At 38.5% G+C, this 18,477-nt stretch overlaps 1 protein-coding gene across 25 annotated transcripts in view; it reads left to right on the top strand.

Annotated features, from left to right (window-relative positions):
* Positions 1 to 18,477, top strand: part of GRM8 (glutamate metabotropic receptor 8) — an 814,344-nt gene that overhangs the window by 413,673 nt on the left and 382,194 nt on the right. The window contains exon 8 of one of the 25 annotated variants that reach the window (XR_007060010.1): positions 1,307 to 1,781. The exons of the other annotated variants lie outside the window; for them this stretch is intronic. The gene's annotated coding sequence lies outside the window, so the exon portion shown is untranslated. Of the gene's footprint in view, positions 1 to 1,306; positions 1,782 to 18,477 lie in introns of those variants that run through there. 25 annotated transcript variants of the gene reach the window in all.

Genomic DNA, 18,477 nt, shown 5'->3' with positions numbered 1-18,477 from the left:
TATTCCATGGACCATGTTTTGCTTAGCAGAAGCCTAGAACATCTTACCTGCCTCTGTTTTCTATCAACTGAATATAATAATGCCCCTACTTTCTACAGTTGATGCGGGTGTTACATGTGTGCCTTATGTAAAGTGCCTGGTATAGTTCCCGGCCAAAAATCATGCAGTGTATGGTGGTAGTGGTGGTAGCAGCAAGTAGTGTGGAGATAATAAGAGTTTTAATAATATATTGGGAAATTTCAGGCTGAAGGGCTTGCAAGTAATTTGTAGGTATAGGAACTTACTCAGATACCAAATGCCGTTCTTCAGAAGCAGCCATTCAGTCACCTGCACCTAGGGCTTTCCCCGATGGGCAAAGCGTACACCTGAATAGTTCCTTAGTTGTCCTCCAATAATTTAAGACTACAAAGGCTTCTGAGAGTCCATGGTAATCTTTTAGGTTTTGTGGTCTAGTTGCTTATATGATGTGAGCCGTGAGTTAACATTTTCTTTCACAGCCTGACTTAGATGTTTTAAATGGCAAATTCAGGAGAGAACAATGTATGAGTCTTTAATTTTATTTTGTTTGTTAGTAACTACAGATCTGGAATAATATTCACTGAGTGTTTCAGAAAGCAGAGAATTAAAAGGCAACATTACAGTGCTTCTTAGCATTAATAAAGTAGTATGTGGGATATAGAAGAAAAGCATAATTTTCACCTCACCTTTACCTCTAGGGGCCTTCAAGAACTTGAAATAAAACACTTTCCCCTTGATAAAGAATAGTAGGTGGGGAAGGTTATGAATCACTTCTTTAATGTCTTTGGTTGCTTACATTACTCTTTAATTCCAGGAAACTCTGCATATAAGTGCAAAAACCCCAGAGTTTCAGTACCTCAGTGTTGAATAAGCAGAGCAGAGAAACAAAAGAAGGAAGGTGATATTACCAGTACTTGGCTATGTCACTGGAGTCTTACTGCCCATGTTTTATTGGCTGATGTTTCAGGGAAACACTTTTTTTCTTGAGTCTTTTTTTTCCCCCAAGATGCTATTTCTAAAAGGTCAGTTATTTGTCATGTAACTATTACTGCATATTAAAATGCACAATGCATCAAATTAGAATAAGCTAAAAATACTCTAGCAGTTCATGCAGTACATATTTTAATGATATTATTTTTAAGATTAGTGTGTTTAAGGGCACAGGTAGTATTTACAATGGAGTATCTATCAAGATTTTCAGACTTGAGGCAATGGTTATCTTTCATAATCCATTTGAAATAGGCTTCACAGTCTCTTTAACTTTAAGAGGATATGTTTTCCTTCTCAGATTTTTTAAGGGAAGCACTACACGTCTTTGATTTTCTGCAGTACTGCTTGAAAGATGAAGATGTCAAGATGGATGACAGCTAATGAACTGGATGCTCAATAGTTCATCACCTTGGTTTTTCCTGAAACCATTTCTTGTCCTTGCCTGGTAAATTGAATCACTTGACTTTGTTGCAATACCTGACAGGAGTCAAATCCCTAAAATATCCAGGCAGAAGTAAATTCTTTTAGCATCACAAATCTTCTGCTGTCCAGGCCCGTTAGGCCAGTGGGTTAAGGTGAAAAAAGATGAGACCACAGTCATGTTCATCTGGCACTTGTTGGCTCCTTTCACTTAGATAAAAAGTGCTCTAGACATAGATCTCCTCACCTTGTCATTGGAAGAGGGAATGAAGTGAGAATTGCGTGTATCAACATGAATGAATTTCCACTCTTGGAAAAATAACTTAGACAGTAAGTCCACTCATGAATGGCCATTTGTATCATCTTGGCTTTTAAAGTATATTTACAGTTTTCTTGTTTATTCATACAGTTGTCAAGGCATATTTGCATATAAAGTGGCATGTACCCTACATCTTTTCTAAATTGCTAAAATAGTCCATATAAACAGAACAACTAAATAATACCAGTTGATTCCTTTTTATGTAACATGGTAGCATAAACTTTATTAAAGGAAATAGTCTTAACGAAGATTTTGATATACCTGATGTGGCATCAACTTCAGTTGTAAATTACAAGGAATCATTGTTATTCATTGTCTATAATATTCCTTAAACACCAAGCTTTATTAGTACTAAATGTGAGGCCTTTCTGGATATGCCTATGCCGACTAAATGAAGACTATAATGATCAATTTAAAAGTTCTTTGGTTCATAATCTTGATGTAAGAAAAAAAAATAATGTCTTAAATCTGAGTGGTGCTTTCCAATTTGCAAAAGTGAATATATTCCTATTATGTTAAAATATATAAAATTATTAGATTAATGCCCATATTTATAGATAAGAAAATAAAGCTCAGAGAAATTGGATGACTTACCTAAGATAATATAATTGTCAGAACTGGGATTTCATTAATTTAATATTATTTGTTTAGTTTGTACTACGTGCTAGTTACCATGTATAAGACTTCAGAAATCTTATGGTCTAATGAGGGAAAGAGTAATTAGATGAATAATTACACAAATGTATAATCATCTGTGTTGATAAATGTTTCAAAGGAAGAATAGAGCATACTCTGAAAGAAAATAGAGCACCTGATTCAGAATGTGGGGCAGGCAATGACTGAATTTAAGGAGTGACATGCAGTCTGAGACCTGAAAGATGAGCAGGAGACAGCAGGTGAGTACGAGGCAGGGGAGGAGCCAGAGAGTGCTAGATAAGTAGGATGAAGCTTGCTGAACTGGAGAGATTGAAGGGAGGCCAGTGTGAATGAGGAGGAGAGAATAGGTGATGAGACTGAAAAGAGAGGCAGGGGGCAGCTCAGCAGAATATTGTGGGCTATGTTATGGAATTTGAATTTCTTTTAAGTGACACAGAAGGTAGGAGAATGGCATGATCCACCTTGAACCAGGTATTCAGCTGCAAGTTCAGTGGCTATCACCAACATACATCATCATTCTTCTGGTGGTGCTCCCAGGAAATTTTTGTTTTCTTTATTTATTTGTTGAATGTTTAAATACACCATTTTCTTATATACAATGAGTAAATGAGTATTTGATCTGTTGGCTGCCATAACTGATGAGTCTTGCAATTTTTTTTAACCTTCGAGAGGACTTAATTTTGGCCAAGAAATTAATATAAGGTTCTAGAAAAACTGTATTTCATTCTCTGTGAGCTTCAGTAATGTGAAATTCATCTTATATTTTGAGATTTTTTTTCCTTATGTTAAACAAGTGGTTGCATGATGCTTTTGATCAAAATGGAATGAACTGACCAAAGAAGGAATTTTTTAAAAATATGGGATGATACCCTTGACTGATTGTCAGCTTTTTCTCTTACTTCCATTCTCATTCATCAGCCTTAGCAGCCTATATCTAGATGTTGAACAAGTATTCTGCCCTTGAAGATGGCCTGACCCTTTTAGAGTTTCTGTGTGTATTTTAAAGGAGAAAAATGTACTCACTTTGAAGTTGTTTGCTTGAAAACAACCTACACTTCTGTCCTTTGAATTAATTTTCTAAAGTTTTTGAGAGACAGGACATAGAGATGGGATTATCCACATAATTTTAGTTTTCCTGAGGGAATCAATTTGTGTGCCAAATGGCATTCTGAGGCTGGTACTTACCAATCACCTGAAACCAAAATCCATAATAAATCTTAACCTTTGAAAAACCTTATGGCTTTAAAGAAATTAAATGGATTTTAAAGATGAAAGTATTCAATTTAATTTCAACAATAGTTAATCATTTATCACTACAAACTTTTTTTTAATGCTTATCAAACTGCTCTACAATGTGCCAGTGATGACCAGTTCCTAGGCACTTGGAACTTGGCTGACAGATTTTTATTATATTTCCTGAGTCCCATCTTTACTGAGGCATATTTCACCGGAATCATTGACACAGGCAATTTCAGTTGGTATCAAGAAGGTCCTCATCTTTAAAGAAGAGTGGCCTGTAGGAATTATGCATTATTTTCTACTTGCTTATTCTTTTAGTAAAACATAGCTTGCATAAATCCAGTATGGAAATAGCTTAATAACAAACAGTGCTATGAAGACATTCATTTTTATTTTACTTGAAACATCAGTAGTTTCATGTATTTGTATTTAAAGGACAACTTGAATTTTTGTAGGGAAATACGCTACATGGTAAAAGTAATTTTAATTCTCAGTGTTATAATTCTGTTTTATTTTTCTTTTCTTTTCTTTTTTTTTTTATTTTTTTTTTGAGATAGAGTTTTACTCTGTCACCCAGGCTGGAGTGCAGTGGTGCAAGCATGGCTCACTGAAGCCTCAACCTCCTGGGCTCAAGCAATCCTCCCACCTCAGCCTCCCAAATAGCTGGGAATACAGGCACACACCACCACACCTGGCTAATTTTTTAGTTATTTTTCAGAGACCGGGTCTCAAACTCCTAAGCTCAAGCAATCCTCTCAGCTTGGCCTCCCAACGTGCTGGGATTACAGTGTGAGCCCCAACCCAGCCTATAATGCTGTTTCTTTTGCTGCTTCCTTTTTAAGCTTATAAACAATAATCGTTTTTAAAATAATCATTATATGTTTGTTGCAAAACACTTTGAAGCTGTTGAAGTTTGTGATTTCAGTATTTAAAAAGTAAGCCCCAGAAGTTAAATCTATTAAAGCCTTGTCAATTCAGGGTTTTTAATCTGACTACACTGCATTATCTTTAGGACAACTGAAAAATCAGTTCTCCTGATGACTTTTTTCTGAATGTTATTGTTTTGTTAGTTGAAACCATTTACAACCATACATTTTCCTTCATGTTTATCACAGAAGACAAAAGGAACTGATAAATGGAAAAACACTACATGGACTTCAATATAATCCTCATAGGATTGTTATTGTTATTATTACTATTATTGTTTATTTCAAAAGACTTTTCCTTGTTATCATATTGTAAGGGAGAGGCCCTCTTTCTCAGGGTGAGCTCTCATTGGCCAGAGTGACTCCATTAGGATATGCACAATTGAATTCCCATGTATTGTTTCCCCTTAAAATCTATCTTAAAATCTTATTTTTAGATTGGATATGAGGATTCTAGCCAGGTGTTTTCCTTTTGCCTCTCTGTCAAAGATAGTTTTCTAAAGGCCATGGCAATGGGGGAGAGGATGGGAATTGGACACTGAGTACATCTATATTACCTAGCACCATTTGGTTGACATTTATGTGGGAGCACCTCTGTTGGCACCTCCTGGTTCTGGCTTTTACCATCCGTAGGACAGTCTGATCTCTGAATACACTTCTTTCAGTCTTTGAGGCACAGCACAGGCACTTTGCAAGCAATCCCTTCTGCTTGAAGCTAAGCCAGGACAGAATTTCTCACAATGTGGCCAGTGGACCCTTACATCAGAATTTCCTGGACTGCTTTTGAAAGTGTTTTCTGTCCGCCTCCCAGATGGAATGAATCAGAATCACAAATGTTGAAGGATTAGTAATCTGCATTTTTACTAAATCTCCCCAAGTGGTTCTTAGGCACCCTAAAGGTTGATGACCATTGTTATGTACTGAATGTTTATGTCCTCCCTGATCCCAAATTTGTTTGTTGAAGCCATAATCCTCAATGTGATAGGATTAGCAGGCAAGGTCTTTGGGAGGTTTAGGTTTAGCTGAAGTCATGAAGGTGGGGCTCCATGATGGGATTAGTGTGCTTATAAGACGAGAAAGAGACACACGGGCTTCCTCTCTGTCTCTCATGTGATAAAGCAAGAAGGCAGCCATCTGCAAGCTAGAAAGAGCAGATCAGGTTAGAGCCTGACCATACTGGCACCCTGATTTTGGACTTCCCAGCCTCCAGAACTGTGAGAATTATATGTCTGTTATTTAAGCCATCTGATCTATGGCATTTTGGTATAGCAGACTGAACAAACTAAGATAACTAGTATCCTAGGCAAAACTACCTGTATCTGGACATAGCTGGAGTTAACTTTATTCTTGAGGGTGGGAATAAAGACCTGGGGTGCAAAGAATGATTACTCAGATGATAAGTTCTCGCAAATAGTTGTCTAAATTTTTCTACTGCTGTGACTGTTGCCTTTTATCAGCTATCTTTGTACCGCCTCTTCCTTACCCTTTGAGTATCTCTTTCCACCAGCTGCATTTGGTGCAGAAAAGTTTTCAAAGCACCCTCAGGTGTTGGATTTAAACTTGTAAGTGTCTTCATTCCTCATTTGCCCTTGGCTAGCCAAGAGACTGATTGTTCAAGACTCCTTATGTTTCTGCAGGGTTAACTAAATTTGCTTTACCATTAAATTTGAGAATACCATGTGACCTCCCAGTACACATTAAAATTGACAACATCCCTTTAGTCTTCAACATAAAATCATGTCATTATTTTTGAGATTCCGCAAAATTCATGAACTGTCATTGAATTTTCTGAAATTAAAACAGCATGTTAACAAATGGCAGTAAATGTGATTTATGGTGTAATACAGCTATTCAACATATGCTGTAGCTTTTAATTCTTGGTTATTACTATTAGCCAGGGAATAACTGCAAAATGCTTTAGAAAAATAAACTAATAGAAGAATGTTTTATGTAAAATAAAAGTACCAAAAGTGCAGGTTTCTACATTCTGTTGAGAAGGATAGTCATGTGGTTTAGCAAAATGAAAGCCTGCAGCTACTCTCTCATCCCTTTTTGTAACAGTAGTTTTATACTGAATCTCTTCTTAGTACTATGACTATGTTTGATGACATAATGTGTAAGTCTAGGTTAAACAATTTTTAAAAAGTAGGCAAACATATTAATTGTAGTATAGAAAAAAGTTGCTATTTTAACTCAACTTTATAGTGTTTTATTATGTATATTGGGGTGTTTTTTTGTTGGCTTCATCTGAATAGAGAGTGAGTTTAGATACAGAATATATAGATAGGTTTAAGTGTGGCTTAAATGAATTCAAAGAAAAGGCATTTACAATGAGTTGTTAAGACAAGTAAGACGATGTTTGAGTGCACATTCCTAGCTTTATAAAATTGATATCATAAAACCATCATTTCTTCCAGTATGTACTATTGTCATTCTAGATCACAGGCCTGAGTAGATAAGGGATCTAGTCCACTATGGCACTTCTTTCTTTTCTTTCTTTATCTTTTCTTTTTCTTTTTTTTTTTTTTGGAAGATGGCACTATGTTGCGTACTAACTCTTGGACAATGATCTGAGTTCTAGTCATGATTCTGTCCCCAAGCTTGAGGCACACTGAGCTTTTGGCACATAGTAGGTACACAATAAATACTTGAAGATACATTTTTGCAGTTATATAAGTCTGCACTTATTTATTGATATGGCTTTCACACTTGAAAATGAAAATAGAGGATATATTCTACCAAACTTTCAGAGATTTAAACTCTTAAAATGAAACAGAAAACAAGCTTAACAGCTCAAATGTGTAACATTCAAGAAACTAATTTACTTATAGACATGTTATTTGCCTATAAGAGTTTCAGTTTCAGAGGAGCCAAGATGGCCGAATAGGAACAGCTCCGGTCTACAGCTCCCAGTGTGAGCCATGCAGAAGACAGGTGATTTCTGCATTTCCATCTGAGGTACCGGGTTCATCTCACTAGGGAGTGCCAGACAGTGGGTGCAGCGCACTGTGCACCAGCTGAAGCAGGGCAAGGCATTGCCTCACTCAGGAAGCACAAGGAGTCAGGGACTTCCCTTTCCTGGTCAAGGAAAGGGGTGACAGACGGCACCTGGAAAACTGGGCCACTCCCACCCAAATACTGGACTTTTCCGATGGGCTTAGGAAATGGCATACCAGGAGATTATATCCCACACATGGCTCAGAGTGTCCTACGCCCACGGAGTCTCTCTCATTGCTAGCACAGCAATCTGAGGTCAAACTGCAAGGTGGCGAGGCTGGGGGAGGGGCGCCCGCCATTGCCCAGGCTTGCTTAGGTAAACAAAGCAGCCGGGAAGCTCGAACTGGGTGGAGCCCACCACAGCTCAAGGAGGCCTGCCTGCCTCTGTAGGCTCCACCTCTGGGGGCAGGGCACAGACAAACAAAAAGACAGCTGTAACCTCTGCAGACTTAAATGTCCCTGTCTGACAGCTTTGAGAGCAGTGGTTCTCCCAGCACTCAGCTGGAGATCTGAGAAAGGGCAGACTGCCTTCTCAAGTGGGTCCCTGACCCCTGACCCCCAAGCAGCCTAACTGGGAGGCACCCCCCAGTAGGGGCAGACTGACACCTCACACGGCCGGGTACTCCTCTGAGACAAAACTTCCAGGGGAACGATCAGACAGCAGCATTCGTGGATCACGAAAATCCGCGGTTCTGCAGCCACCGCTGCTGATACCCAGGCAAACAGGGTCTGGAGTGGACCTCTAGCAAACTCCAATAGACCTGCAGCTGAGGGTCCTGTCTGTTAGAAGGAAAGCTAACAAACAGAAAGGACATCCACACCAAAAACCCATCTGTACATCACCATCATCAAAGACCAAAAGTAGATAAAACCACAAAGATGGGGAAAAAACAGAGCAGAAAAACTGGAAACTCTAAAAAGCAGAGCACCTCTCCTCCTCCAAAGGAACGCAGTTCCTCACCAGCAACAGAACAAAGCTGGACGGAGAATGACTTTGACGAGTTGAGAGAAGAAGGCTTCAGACGATCAAACTACTCCGAGCTACAGGAGGAAATTCAAACCAAAGGCAAAGAAGTTGAAAACTTTGAAAAAAATTAAGACGAATGCATAACTAGAATAACCAATACAGAGAAGTGCTTAAAGGAGCTGATGGAGCTGAAAGCCAAGGCTCGAGAACTATGTGAAGAATGCAGACGCCTCAGGAGCCGATGAGATCAACTGGAAGACAGGGTATTAGTGATGGAAGATGAAATGAATGAAATGAAGCGAGAAGGGAAGTTTAGAGAAAAAATAATAAAAAGAAATGAACAAAGCCTCCACGAAATATGGGACTATGTGAAAAGACCAAATCTGCGTCTGATTGGTGGACCTGAAAGTGACAGGGAGAATGGAACCAAGTTGGAAAACACTCTGCAGGATATTATCCAGGAGAACATCCCCAATCTAGCAAGGCAGGCCAACATTCAGATTCAGGAAATACAGAGAATGCCACAAAGATACTCCTCGAGAAGAGCAACTCCAAGACACATAATTGTCAGATTCACCAAAGTTGAAATGAAGGAAAAAATGTTAAGGGCAGCCAGAGAGAAAGCTCGGGTTACCCTCAAAGGGAAGCCCATCAGACTAACAGCTGATCTCTCGGCAGAAACTCTACAAGCCAGAAGAGAGTGGGGGCCAATATTCAACATTCTTAAAGAAAAGAATTTTCAACCCAGAATTTCATATTCAGCCAAACTAAGCTTCATAAGTGAAGGAGAAATAAAATACTTCACAGACAAGCAAATGCTGAGAGATTTTGTCACCACCAGGCCTGCCCTAAAAGAGCTCCTGAAGGAAGCAGTAAACATGGAAAGGCACAACCGGTACCAGCCGCTGCAAAATCATGCCAAAATATAAAGACCATCGAGACTAGGAAGAAACTACATCAACTAATGAGCAAAATAACCAGCTAACATCATAATGACAGGATCAAATTCACATATAACAATATTAACTTTAAATGTAACTGGACTAAATGCTCCAATTAAAAGACACAGACTGGCAAATTGGATAAAGAGTCAAGACCCATCAGTGTGCTGTATTCAGGAAACCCATCTCATGTGCAGTGACACACATAGGCTCAAAATAAAAGGATGGAGGAAGATCTACCAAGCAAATGGAAAACAAAAAAAGGCAGGGGTTGCAATCCTAGTCTCTGATAAAACAGACTTTAAACCAACAAAGATCAAAAGAGACAAAGAAGGCCATTACATAATGGTAAAGGGATCAATTCAACAAGAAGAGCTAACTATCCTAAATATATATGCACCCAATACAGGAGCACCCAGATTCATAAAGCAAGTCCTGAGTGACCTACAAAGAGACTTAGACTCCCACACAATAATAATGGGAGACTTTAACACCCCACTGTCAACATTAGACAGATCAACGAGACAGAAAGTTAACAAGGATACCCAGGAATTGAACTCAGCTCTGCACCAAGCAGACCTAATAGACATCTACAGAACTCTCCACCCCAAATCAACAGAATATACATTTTTTTCAGCATCACACCACACCTATTCCAAAATTGACCGCATAGTTGGAAGTAAAGCTCTCCTCAGCAAATGTAAAAGAACAGAAATTATAACAAACTATCTCTCAGACCACAGTGCGATCATACTAGAACTCAGGATTAAGAAACTCACTCAAAACCTCTCAACTACATGGAAACTGAACAACCTGCTCCTTAATGACTACTGGGTACATAACGAAATGAAGGCAGAAATAAAGATGTTCTTTGAAACCAACGAGAACAAAGACACAACATACCAGAATCTCTGGGACACATTCACAGCAGTGTGTAGAGGGAAATTTATAGCACTAAATGCCCACAAGAGAAAGCACTAAAAGCCCAAAATTGACACCCTAACATCACAATTAAAAGAACTAGAGAAGCAAGAGCAAACACATTCAAAAGCTAGCAGAAGGCAAGAAATAACTGAAATCAGAGCAGAACTGAAGAGACACAAAAAACCCTTCAAAAAATTAATGAATCCAGGAGCTGGTTTTTTGAAAGGATCAACAAAATTGATAGACTGCTAGCAAGACTAATAAAGAAAAAAAGAAGAATCAAATAGATGCAATAAAAAATGATAAAGGGGATATCACCACCAATCCCTCAGAAATACAAACTACCATCAGAGAATACTACAAACACCTCTACATAAATAAACTAGAAAATCTAGAAGAAATGGATAAATTCCTCGACAGATACACCCTCCGAAGACTAAACCAGGAAGAAGTTGAATCTCTGAATAGACCAATAACAGGATCTGAAATTGTGGCAATAATCAATAGCTTACCAACCAAAAAGAGTCCAGGACCAGATGGATTCACAGCCGAATTCTACCAGAGGTACAAGGAGGAACTGGTACCATTCTTTCTGAAACTATTCTAATCAATAGAAAAAGAGGGAATCCTCCCTAACTCATTTTATGAGGCCAGCATCATCCTGATACCAAAGCCGGGCAGAGACACAACCAAAAAAGAGAATTTTAGACCAATATCCTTGATGAACATTGATGCAAAAATCCTCAATAAAATACTGGCAAAACGAATCCAGCAGCACATCAAAAAGCTTATCCACCATGATCAAGTGGGATTCATCCCTGGGATGCAAGGCTGGTTCAATATACGCAAATCAACAAATGTAATCCAGCATATAAACAGAACCAAAAACAAAAACCACATGATTATCTCAATAGATGCAGAAAAGGCCTTTGACAAAATTCAACAACCCTTCATGCTAAAAATTCTCAATAAATTAGGTATTGATGGGATGTATCTCAAAATAATAAGAGCTATCTATGACAAACCCATAGCCAATATCATACTGAATGGGCAAAAACTGGAAGAATTCCCTTTGAAAACTGGCACAAGACAGGGATGCCCTCTCTCACCACTCCTTTTCAACATAGTGTTGGAAGTTCTGGCCAGGGCAATTAGGCATGAGAAGGAAATAAAGGGTATTCAATTAGGAAAAGAAGTCAAATTGTCTCTGTTTGCAGATGACATGATTATATATCTAGAAAACCCCATTGTCTCAGCCCAAAATCTCCTTAAGCTGATAAGCAACTTCAGCAAAGTCTCAGGATACAAAATCAAAGTACAAAAATCACAAGCATTCTTATACACCAATAACAGACCAATAGAGAGCCAAATCATGAGTGAACTCCCATTCACAATTGCTTCAAAGAGAATAAAATACTTAGGAATCCAATTTACAAGGGACGTGAAGGACCTCTTCAAGGAGAACTACAAACCACTGCTCAGTGAAATAAAAGAGGATACAGACAAATGGAAGAACATTCCATCCTCATGGATGGGAAGAAAATATCATGAAAATGGCCATACTGCCCAAGGTAATTTACAGATTCAATGCCATCCCCATCAAGCTACCAATGACTTTCTTCACAGAATTGGAAAAAACTACTTTAAAGTTCATATGGAACCAAAAAAGAGCCCACATCACCAAGTCAATCCTAAGCCAAAAGAACAAAGCTGAAGGCATCACGCTACCTGACTTCAAACTATACTACAAGGCTACAGTAACCAAAACAGCATGGTACTGCTACCAAAACAGAGATATAGATCAATGGAACAGAACAGAGCCCTCAGAAATAATGCCACATATCTACAACTATCTGATCTTTGATGAACCTGAGAAAAACAAGCAATGGGGGAAAGGATTCCCTATTTAATAAACGGTGCTGGGAAAACTGGTTAGCCATATGGAGAAAGCTGAAACTGGATCCCTTCCTTACACCTTATGCAAAAATTAATTCAATTAATACAAAAATTAAACATTAGACCTAAAACCATAAAAACCCTAGAAGAAAACCTAGGCATTACCATTCAGGACATAGGCATGGGCAAGGACTTCATGTCCAAAACACCAAAAGCAATGGCAACAAAAGCCAAAATTGACAAATGAGATCTAATTAAACTAAAGAGCTACTGCACAGCAAAAGAAACTACCATCAGAGTGAACAGGCAACCTACAAAATGGGAGAAAATTTTCGCAACCTACTCATCTGACAAAGGGCTAATATCCAGAATCTACAATGAACTCAAACAAATTTACAAGAAAAAAACAACCCCATCAAAAATTGGGCGAAGGACATGAACAGACACTTCTCAAAAGAAGACATTTATGCAGCCAAAAGACACATGAAAAAATGCTCATCATCACTGGCCATCAGAGAAACGCAAATCAAAACCACAATGAGATACCATCTCACACCAGTTAGAATGGCAATCATTAAAAAGTCAGGAAACAACAGGTGCTGGAGAGGATGTGGAGAAATAGGAAACTTTTACACTGTTGTTGGGACTGTAAACTAGTTCAACCATTGTGGAAGTCAGTGTGGCGATTCCTCAGGGATCTAGAACTAGAAATACCATTTGACCCAGCCATCCCATTACTGGGTAAATACCCAAAGGACTATAAATCATGCTACTATAAAGACACATGCACACGTATGTTTATTGTGGCACTATTCACAATAGCAAAGACTTGGAACCAACCCAAATGTCCAACAATGATAGACTGGATTAAGAAAATGTGGCACATATACACAATGGAACACTATGCAGCCATAAAAAATGATGAGTTCATGTCCTTTGTAGGGACATGGATGAAATTGGAAATCATCATTCTCAGTAAACTATCGCAAGGACAAAAAACTAAACACTGCATGTTCTCATTCATAGATGGGAATTGAACAATGAGAACACATGGACACAGGAAGGGGAACATCACACTCTGGGGACTGTTGTGGGGTGGGGGGAGGTGGGAGGGATAGCATTAGGAGATATACCTAATGCTAAATGACGAGTTAATGGGTGCAGCACACCAGCATGGCACATGTATACATATGTAACTAACCTGCACATTGTGCACCTGTACCCTAAAACTTAAAGTATAATAATAATAAAAAAAAGTTTCAGTTTCCTTTTTTTAACCAATGTTTAGGTTTTTCATATTGTAAGTTGTCAATTGAAGTTACAACTTTTTTTCTTGGTAGGTTATCTTATTTTACCCAGTCCTTTAACACTATTAAGTACCATTCCTAAAGCATAGCCTTTTGCAATATTCTGAGGCTATTCATGGTGGAAACTCTGGACTTGAATTGAGAAATCTTGGTAATCTGCCGCTTATTAGCTTTTGACCCTGAGCAAGTCATTTAATGTCTCTACACCTTAGATTTCCTCATTGTTAGTTAGGTATAACAATAGTAATAAGGAAAATAACACTCATTGAGTTTTTGTGCATTTTAAAGAAGTATATGTTTGGGGCCGGGCATAGTGGCTCATGCCTGTAATCCCAGCACTTTGGGAGGCCAAGGTGGGCAGATCACAAGGTCAGGAGATTGAGACCATCCTGGCTAGCATGGTGAAACCCTGTCTCTACTAAAAATACAACAAATTAGCCAGGCATGGTGGTGTGCATTTTTAGTCCCAGCTACTCAGGAGGCTGGGCAGGAGAATCATTTGAACCCAGGAGGCGGAGGTTGCAGTGAGCCGAGGTCACCCCACTGCACTCCAGCCTGGGCAACAGAATGGGACTGTGTCTCGAAAAAAACAACAAAAAAAGTACATGTTTGGATACTCACTTTGTAAACGCTGATGCAGCAACAGACACCAAACATTATCCCAAGTGGCCTTCCCAAATTTTCTGTTTTCAAACTACTATCCTGAGGAAGAGAGGCTCTTTGAGAGAGTTTTGGAATATTGAGGTTTTCATGACCAATGGTCATTCAGCCTCCTTTCCTTCCTTCTTTAATTTTACCACATATGAGTTAGGGAGGAAAGAGCCAATATAATGGGACTGCTAACAGTTCATGAAAGCCAAAAGATTCCAAAAAATTTATTAGTCACTAACCAAGAAGGTGAAGAAAATAATTTTTAAAATCTTATATTCCTATTTTTGCTTAAAAAGATACTTCCATTGGTATCTCAAGCTGTATTTCCTGAAGAATCATATACTTTTGGGATGGGTGCCATTAGTGGTCATGACTGTGACCTGACAAATAGAAAGATAAAATGATCCACAGCTTGGAGCCTGCCATGGGCTTAGCCACAGTTGGTAGGACACATAAGTATACCAACACTGTGAACACAGTTCTGTAGGTAGCATACCCTCTTCTCCACTCACAAGGCTCCCTTCCCCCAGTCAACAGGAATGGGCAGTGGGGAGAAACCTGCCATTATTAGACACTAATGACTTCCTGGGAAGTGGATCAACAAAGTTTTAAAGCACAGTACATTTTATTTATTGGTTTCTTATTTGCCATTGACTTTGACTCTTTCCTTTCTCATGTGCACTTTGATACATACATAAAAATATATACTTTTTTTGTGACACAATGCTAAGGGAGTAATTGAAACAAACTTGGCAACATCCCATTGCTATAAATTCACCCAGGCTGTCTGCCACTGGAGAACATGAAATGACTAATTGAAGGATAAACAATGCTTATCTCAACCTAAGAAATAATAATAATAACAGTGATGACCATATTTTAATATGAATAACAGTTTCTTTAGTTTTATGTAAAAATGAATAAAATAATTTTTAGATATCCTATATTTATTGACTGGTAACATGGAATCTAAACAAAAGTGTTATTTTTATGCAAATACAGATTTAAGAGAGATTGCCTTCTCTCTCCCTGAACCTCTGCTTTGACACACACACACAAACACATTATCTTATATATGGAAATATGGAAATCCACCAGCCACCAAATTTGCAGCTAGGAGAGAAGGCAAATTTAGGACCTGGAATGTGGTTGCTTGTTCAACTCTTGTGTACATTGAGTTAAGGTTTAAGCTGCTGTACCATAAATGCAGTCTCTCTACCTCTCAACTATTCAAGTGAGCCTACTGAGCCCTTGAAATGTGGCTGCTCTGGATTAACATATGTTCTGAGTTTAACATACACATTGATTGCAGAAACGTAGAATGAAAAAAAGAATGCATAATATCTAAATATTTTTAATATTGATAACATTTTGAAATGATAATATTTTGGATGTATTGGCTAAACCAGATATGTAACTGAAGTTAATTTCACCTTTATTTACTTAATGTGGCAATCATAAATTTTAAAATTACATATGTGGCCCCTATTATATTTATCTTAGACAGGGTCACATCTAGATAATGGCCAGGGACCTAGATTAAACTGCAATACTATGGATAAAGAGAAGAATGGATTGAAGGGACAACTAATACTCTGCCTCACTTCTGTATCTCTAGTAGTGTTTGCTCAGTGTATCTTAATTTAACAGCTAGTTGGATTACTGCATTTGGATCCCAAATTATGTCAGACTGGAATGAGGACCAAATTAAACAGAGTGATGTAGCATGTCCTAAATTTTACCCATACAATTACAGGATTGGAAAAACAGCTACGGCTATATGTTTATTTTTAAAATAGAAGCTTTTCTTTTGTGGTCAGCTTATGTGTCAGTTATATGATGTGACTATCACAAAATCTAATTGCAGGCTTAGACTGCATTAATAAAATCTTATTTCAAAGACCATATGACATTCTTTACCTACTGTCTACTTTGTTGTGTTTATATGTATAAGTGGCTTAGTAGGTTTGGTGGCATAAAATAAATCATATTTTAGAAGGCTCAACTTTAGAATCATAGTAGAGTTGGTTGGGGGATCTGTTCCATTTGTAATTCCTGTAGGCTATCCCTTAGAGATGTTTGGAATACAGTTGTGTATATGGGATGAAGACTAGGAGACAGAAATGTGTTGAAGGCATTGATGTGGGAATTGTCTGCATCTGGATAGCAAGTAAAACCAGATATGTAGATGCATTAATCTAGGAAGAATGTGTAGTCAGAGATAAGCACTCTCAACGTTCAGAGGTAGTTTATCATAAAAGGAGCCAGGAAAGGGGACTGAGGAAAGCACTAAGAGATAGGAGTCTATAATTCCAGATACTTTGAGGCTGAGGCAGGAAGATCACTTGAGCCGCAGGAGTCTGAGGCTGTAGTGTGCTATGACCATGCCTGTGAATAGACACTGCACTCCAGCCTGGGCAACATAGTGAGATCCCATCTCTAAAGTAAGGGAGAGAATGAAGGAGGGAAAGAAAGAAAGAGAGAGACAAGGAAGGGAAGGGAAGGAAGGAGAGAAGGAGAAAGACAGAGGAAAAGAAAGAAAAATAAAAGAGGAAGGAAGGAAAGGAAGGAAGGAAGGGCCTGAGTGCAGGTAAGCACTCATAAAATAAAAAATCAGTGGTAAATCATGCAAATGTGTTGTGGCAGCTAAATGCATGTGTAAAGAAGATAGTCCTCAGCAGTGTCAAAAATACTATGTGGTCTAGGAGTAAAGGCTTGAGAAGTTTCTTTTAAAGAAACTTTAAATGACAAGAGAGTTCTTGGTGTCCTTAACCAGAACAGTTTCAATGGACTGATGGAGACTGAGGCCAGTGAACAGTAGATTGAGAAGCAAGAGGAAATGAAATGGAGTCAGTGAGAGGATATAATTCTTACAAAACACTTTCCTGTGACATACTGCTATCATGATCTCTTGATATGATGCCTTGAGAAGGACACAGTGTCAGCTCTGTGGCATTCTTACTAAAAAATGTAAGTTTTCAAAATTTAATAATGAATAAATATCAGACAAACCCCCAATGAAGAAGAGTCTACCAAATAACTGATTAGTTATTTTCAAAGGTGTTGAGATCATGACTGGGAAAGAGAAAGGAATTGCTATGGATTATAGGAGACTAAGGAGAAATCACAGTTGCAATGTGGGATTCTGGACTGGATCCTGGAATAGAAAATTACATTATGAAAAAACTGGTCAGATCCGGAAAAGGCCTGTAATTTAATATAGTATTGCACTGATGATAATTTCCTAGTTTTGATAATTGTACCATGGTTATGCAATGTATTAGCTTTAGGGGAACCAGGATAAGGGGAATATGGGAACTCTTTGTAGTACCTGGAAACTTTTCTTTAAATCTAAAATTAGCTAAGAAAAAAGAATTGCTCTGAAAGGAAGGAGAGTGATGGGGGATGGCTGGAAAGAATATGAAGCTGAGGAGAGCTCAAAATCATTTCAAAAAGTGAAAATGATTGCTGATGTTTTCCAAGAGGTTATCATATGCCAGGGACCATGCTAAGTGCTTTGTGGAAACTTTTTCATTCCCTGTTCGTAACTATACTATGGATGGAATGTTGTTGTTATTCCACTTTTGTAGATACAGAAAGGGAAACATGACAGGGGCCAAACATGATCACACAGCGGTAATGGTAGAGCTCGGATTTTGAGGCTGATTTCCTAAGGCACTGCAGTATGTGTCTTTTCAAAACAGGAGAGAATTTGGTATATTTAAATGCTTGAAGGATGGGTGCATTAGATGAAGAGAATAGAAAATACAAGGAAAAGAGGAGATAGGAAACAAAGGGTGAAATCCAGCAAATGGTGAAATAAATATTGACATTGCATCTGTGGTAATAGTTGGGGAAGTTTAAGGGATCAGTAGAAAGGTAATAACTGTGTGTCATTTATACTGGTTGGAGATTGAGACAGAGTCTTGCTCCGTCGCCCAGGCTGAAGTGCAGTGGCACAATCTCAGCTCACTGTAACCTCTGCCTCCCAGGTTCAAGCAGTTCTTCTGCCTCAGCCTCCTGAGGTAGTTGGGACTACAGGTGTGTGCCACCATGCCCGGCTAATTTTTGTAGTTTTTGCAGAGACAGGCTTTCGCCATTTTGCCCAGGCTGCTCTCAAACTCCTGGCCTCAAGCGATCCGCCCACCTTGGCCTCTCAAAGTTCTATGATTACAGGCATGAGCCACCGTGCCCTAGGATGGTCTTTAATTTCTTTGTGAAGCAG

Source organism: Homo sapiens, chromosome 7, assembly GCF_000001405.40.
Source record: "Homo sapiens chromosome 7, GRCh38.p14 Primary Assembly".
NCBI lineage: Eukaryota > Metazoa > Chordata > Mammalia > Primates > Hominidae > Homo > Homo sapiens.
This window is presented reverse-complemented; position numbering and strand designations above follow the sequence as displayed.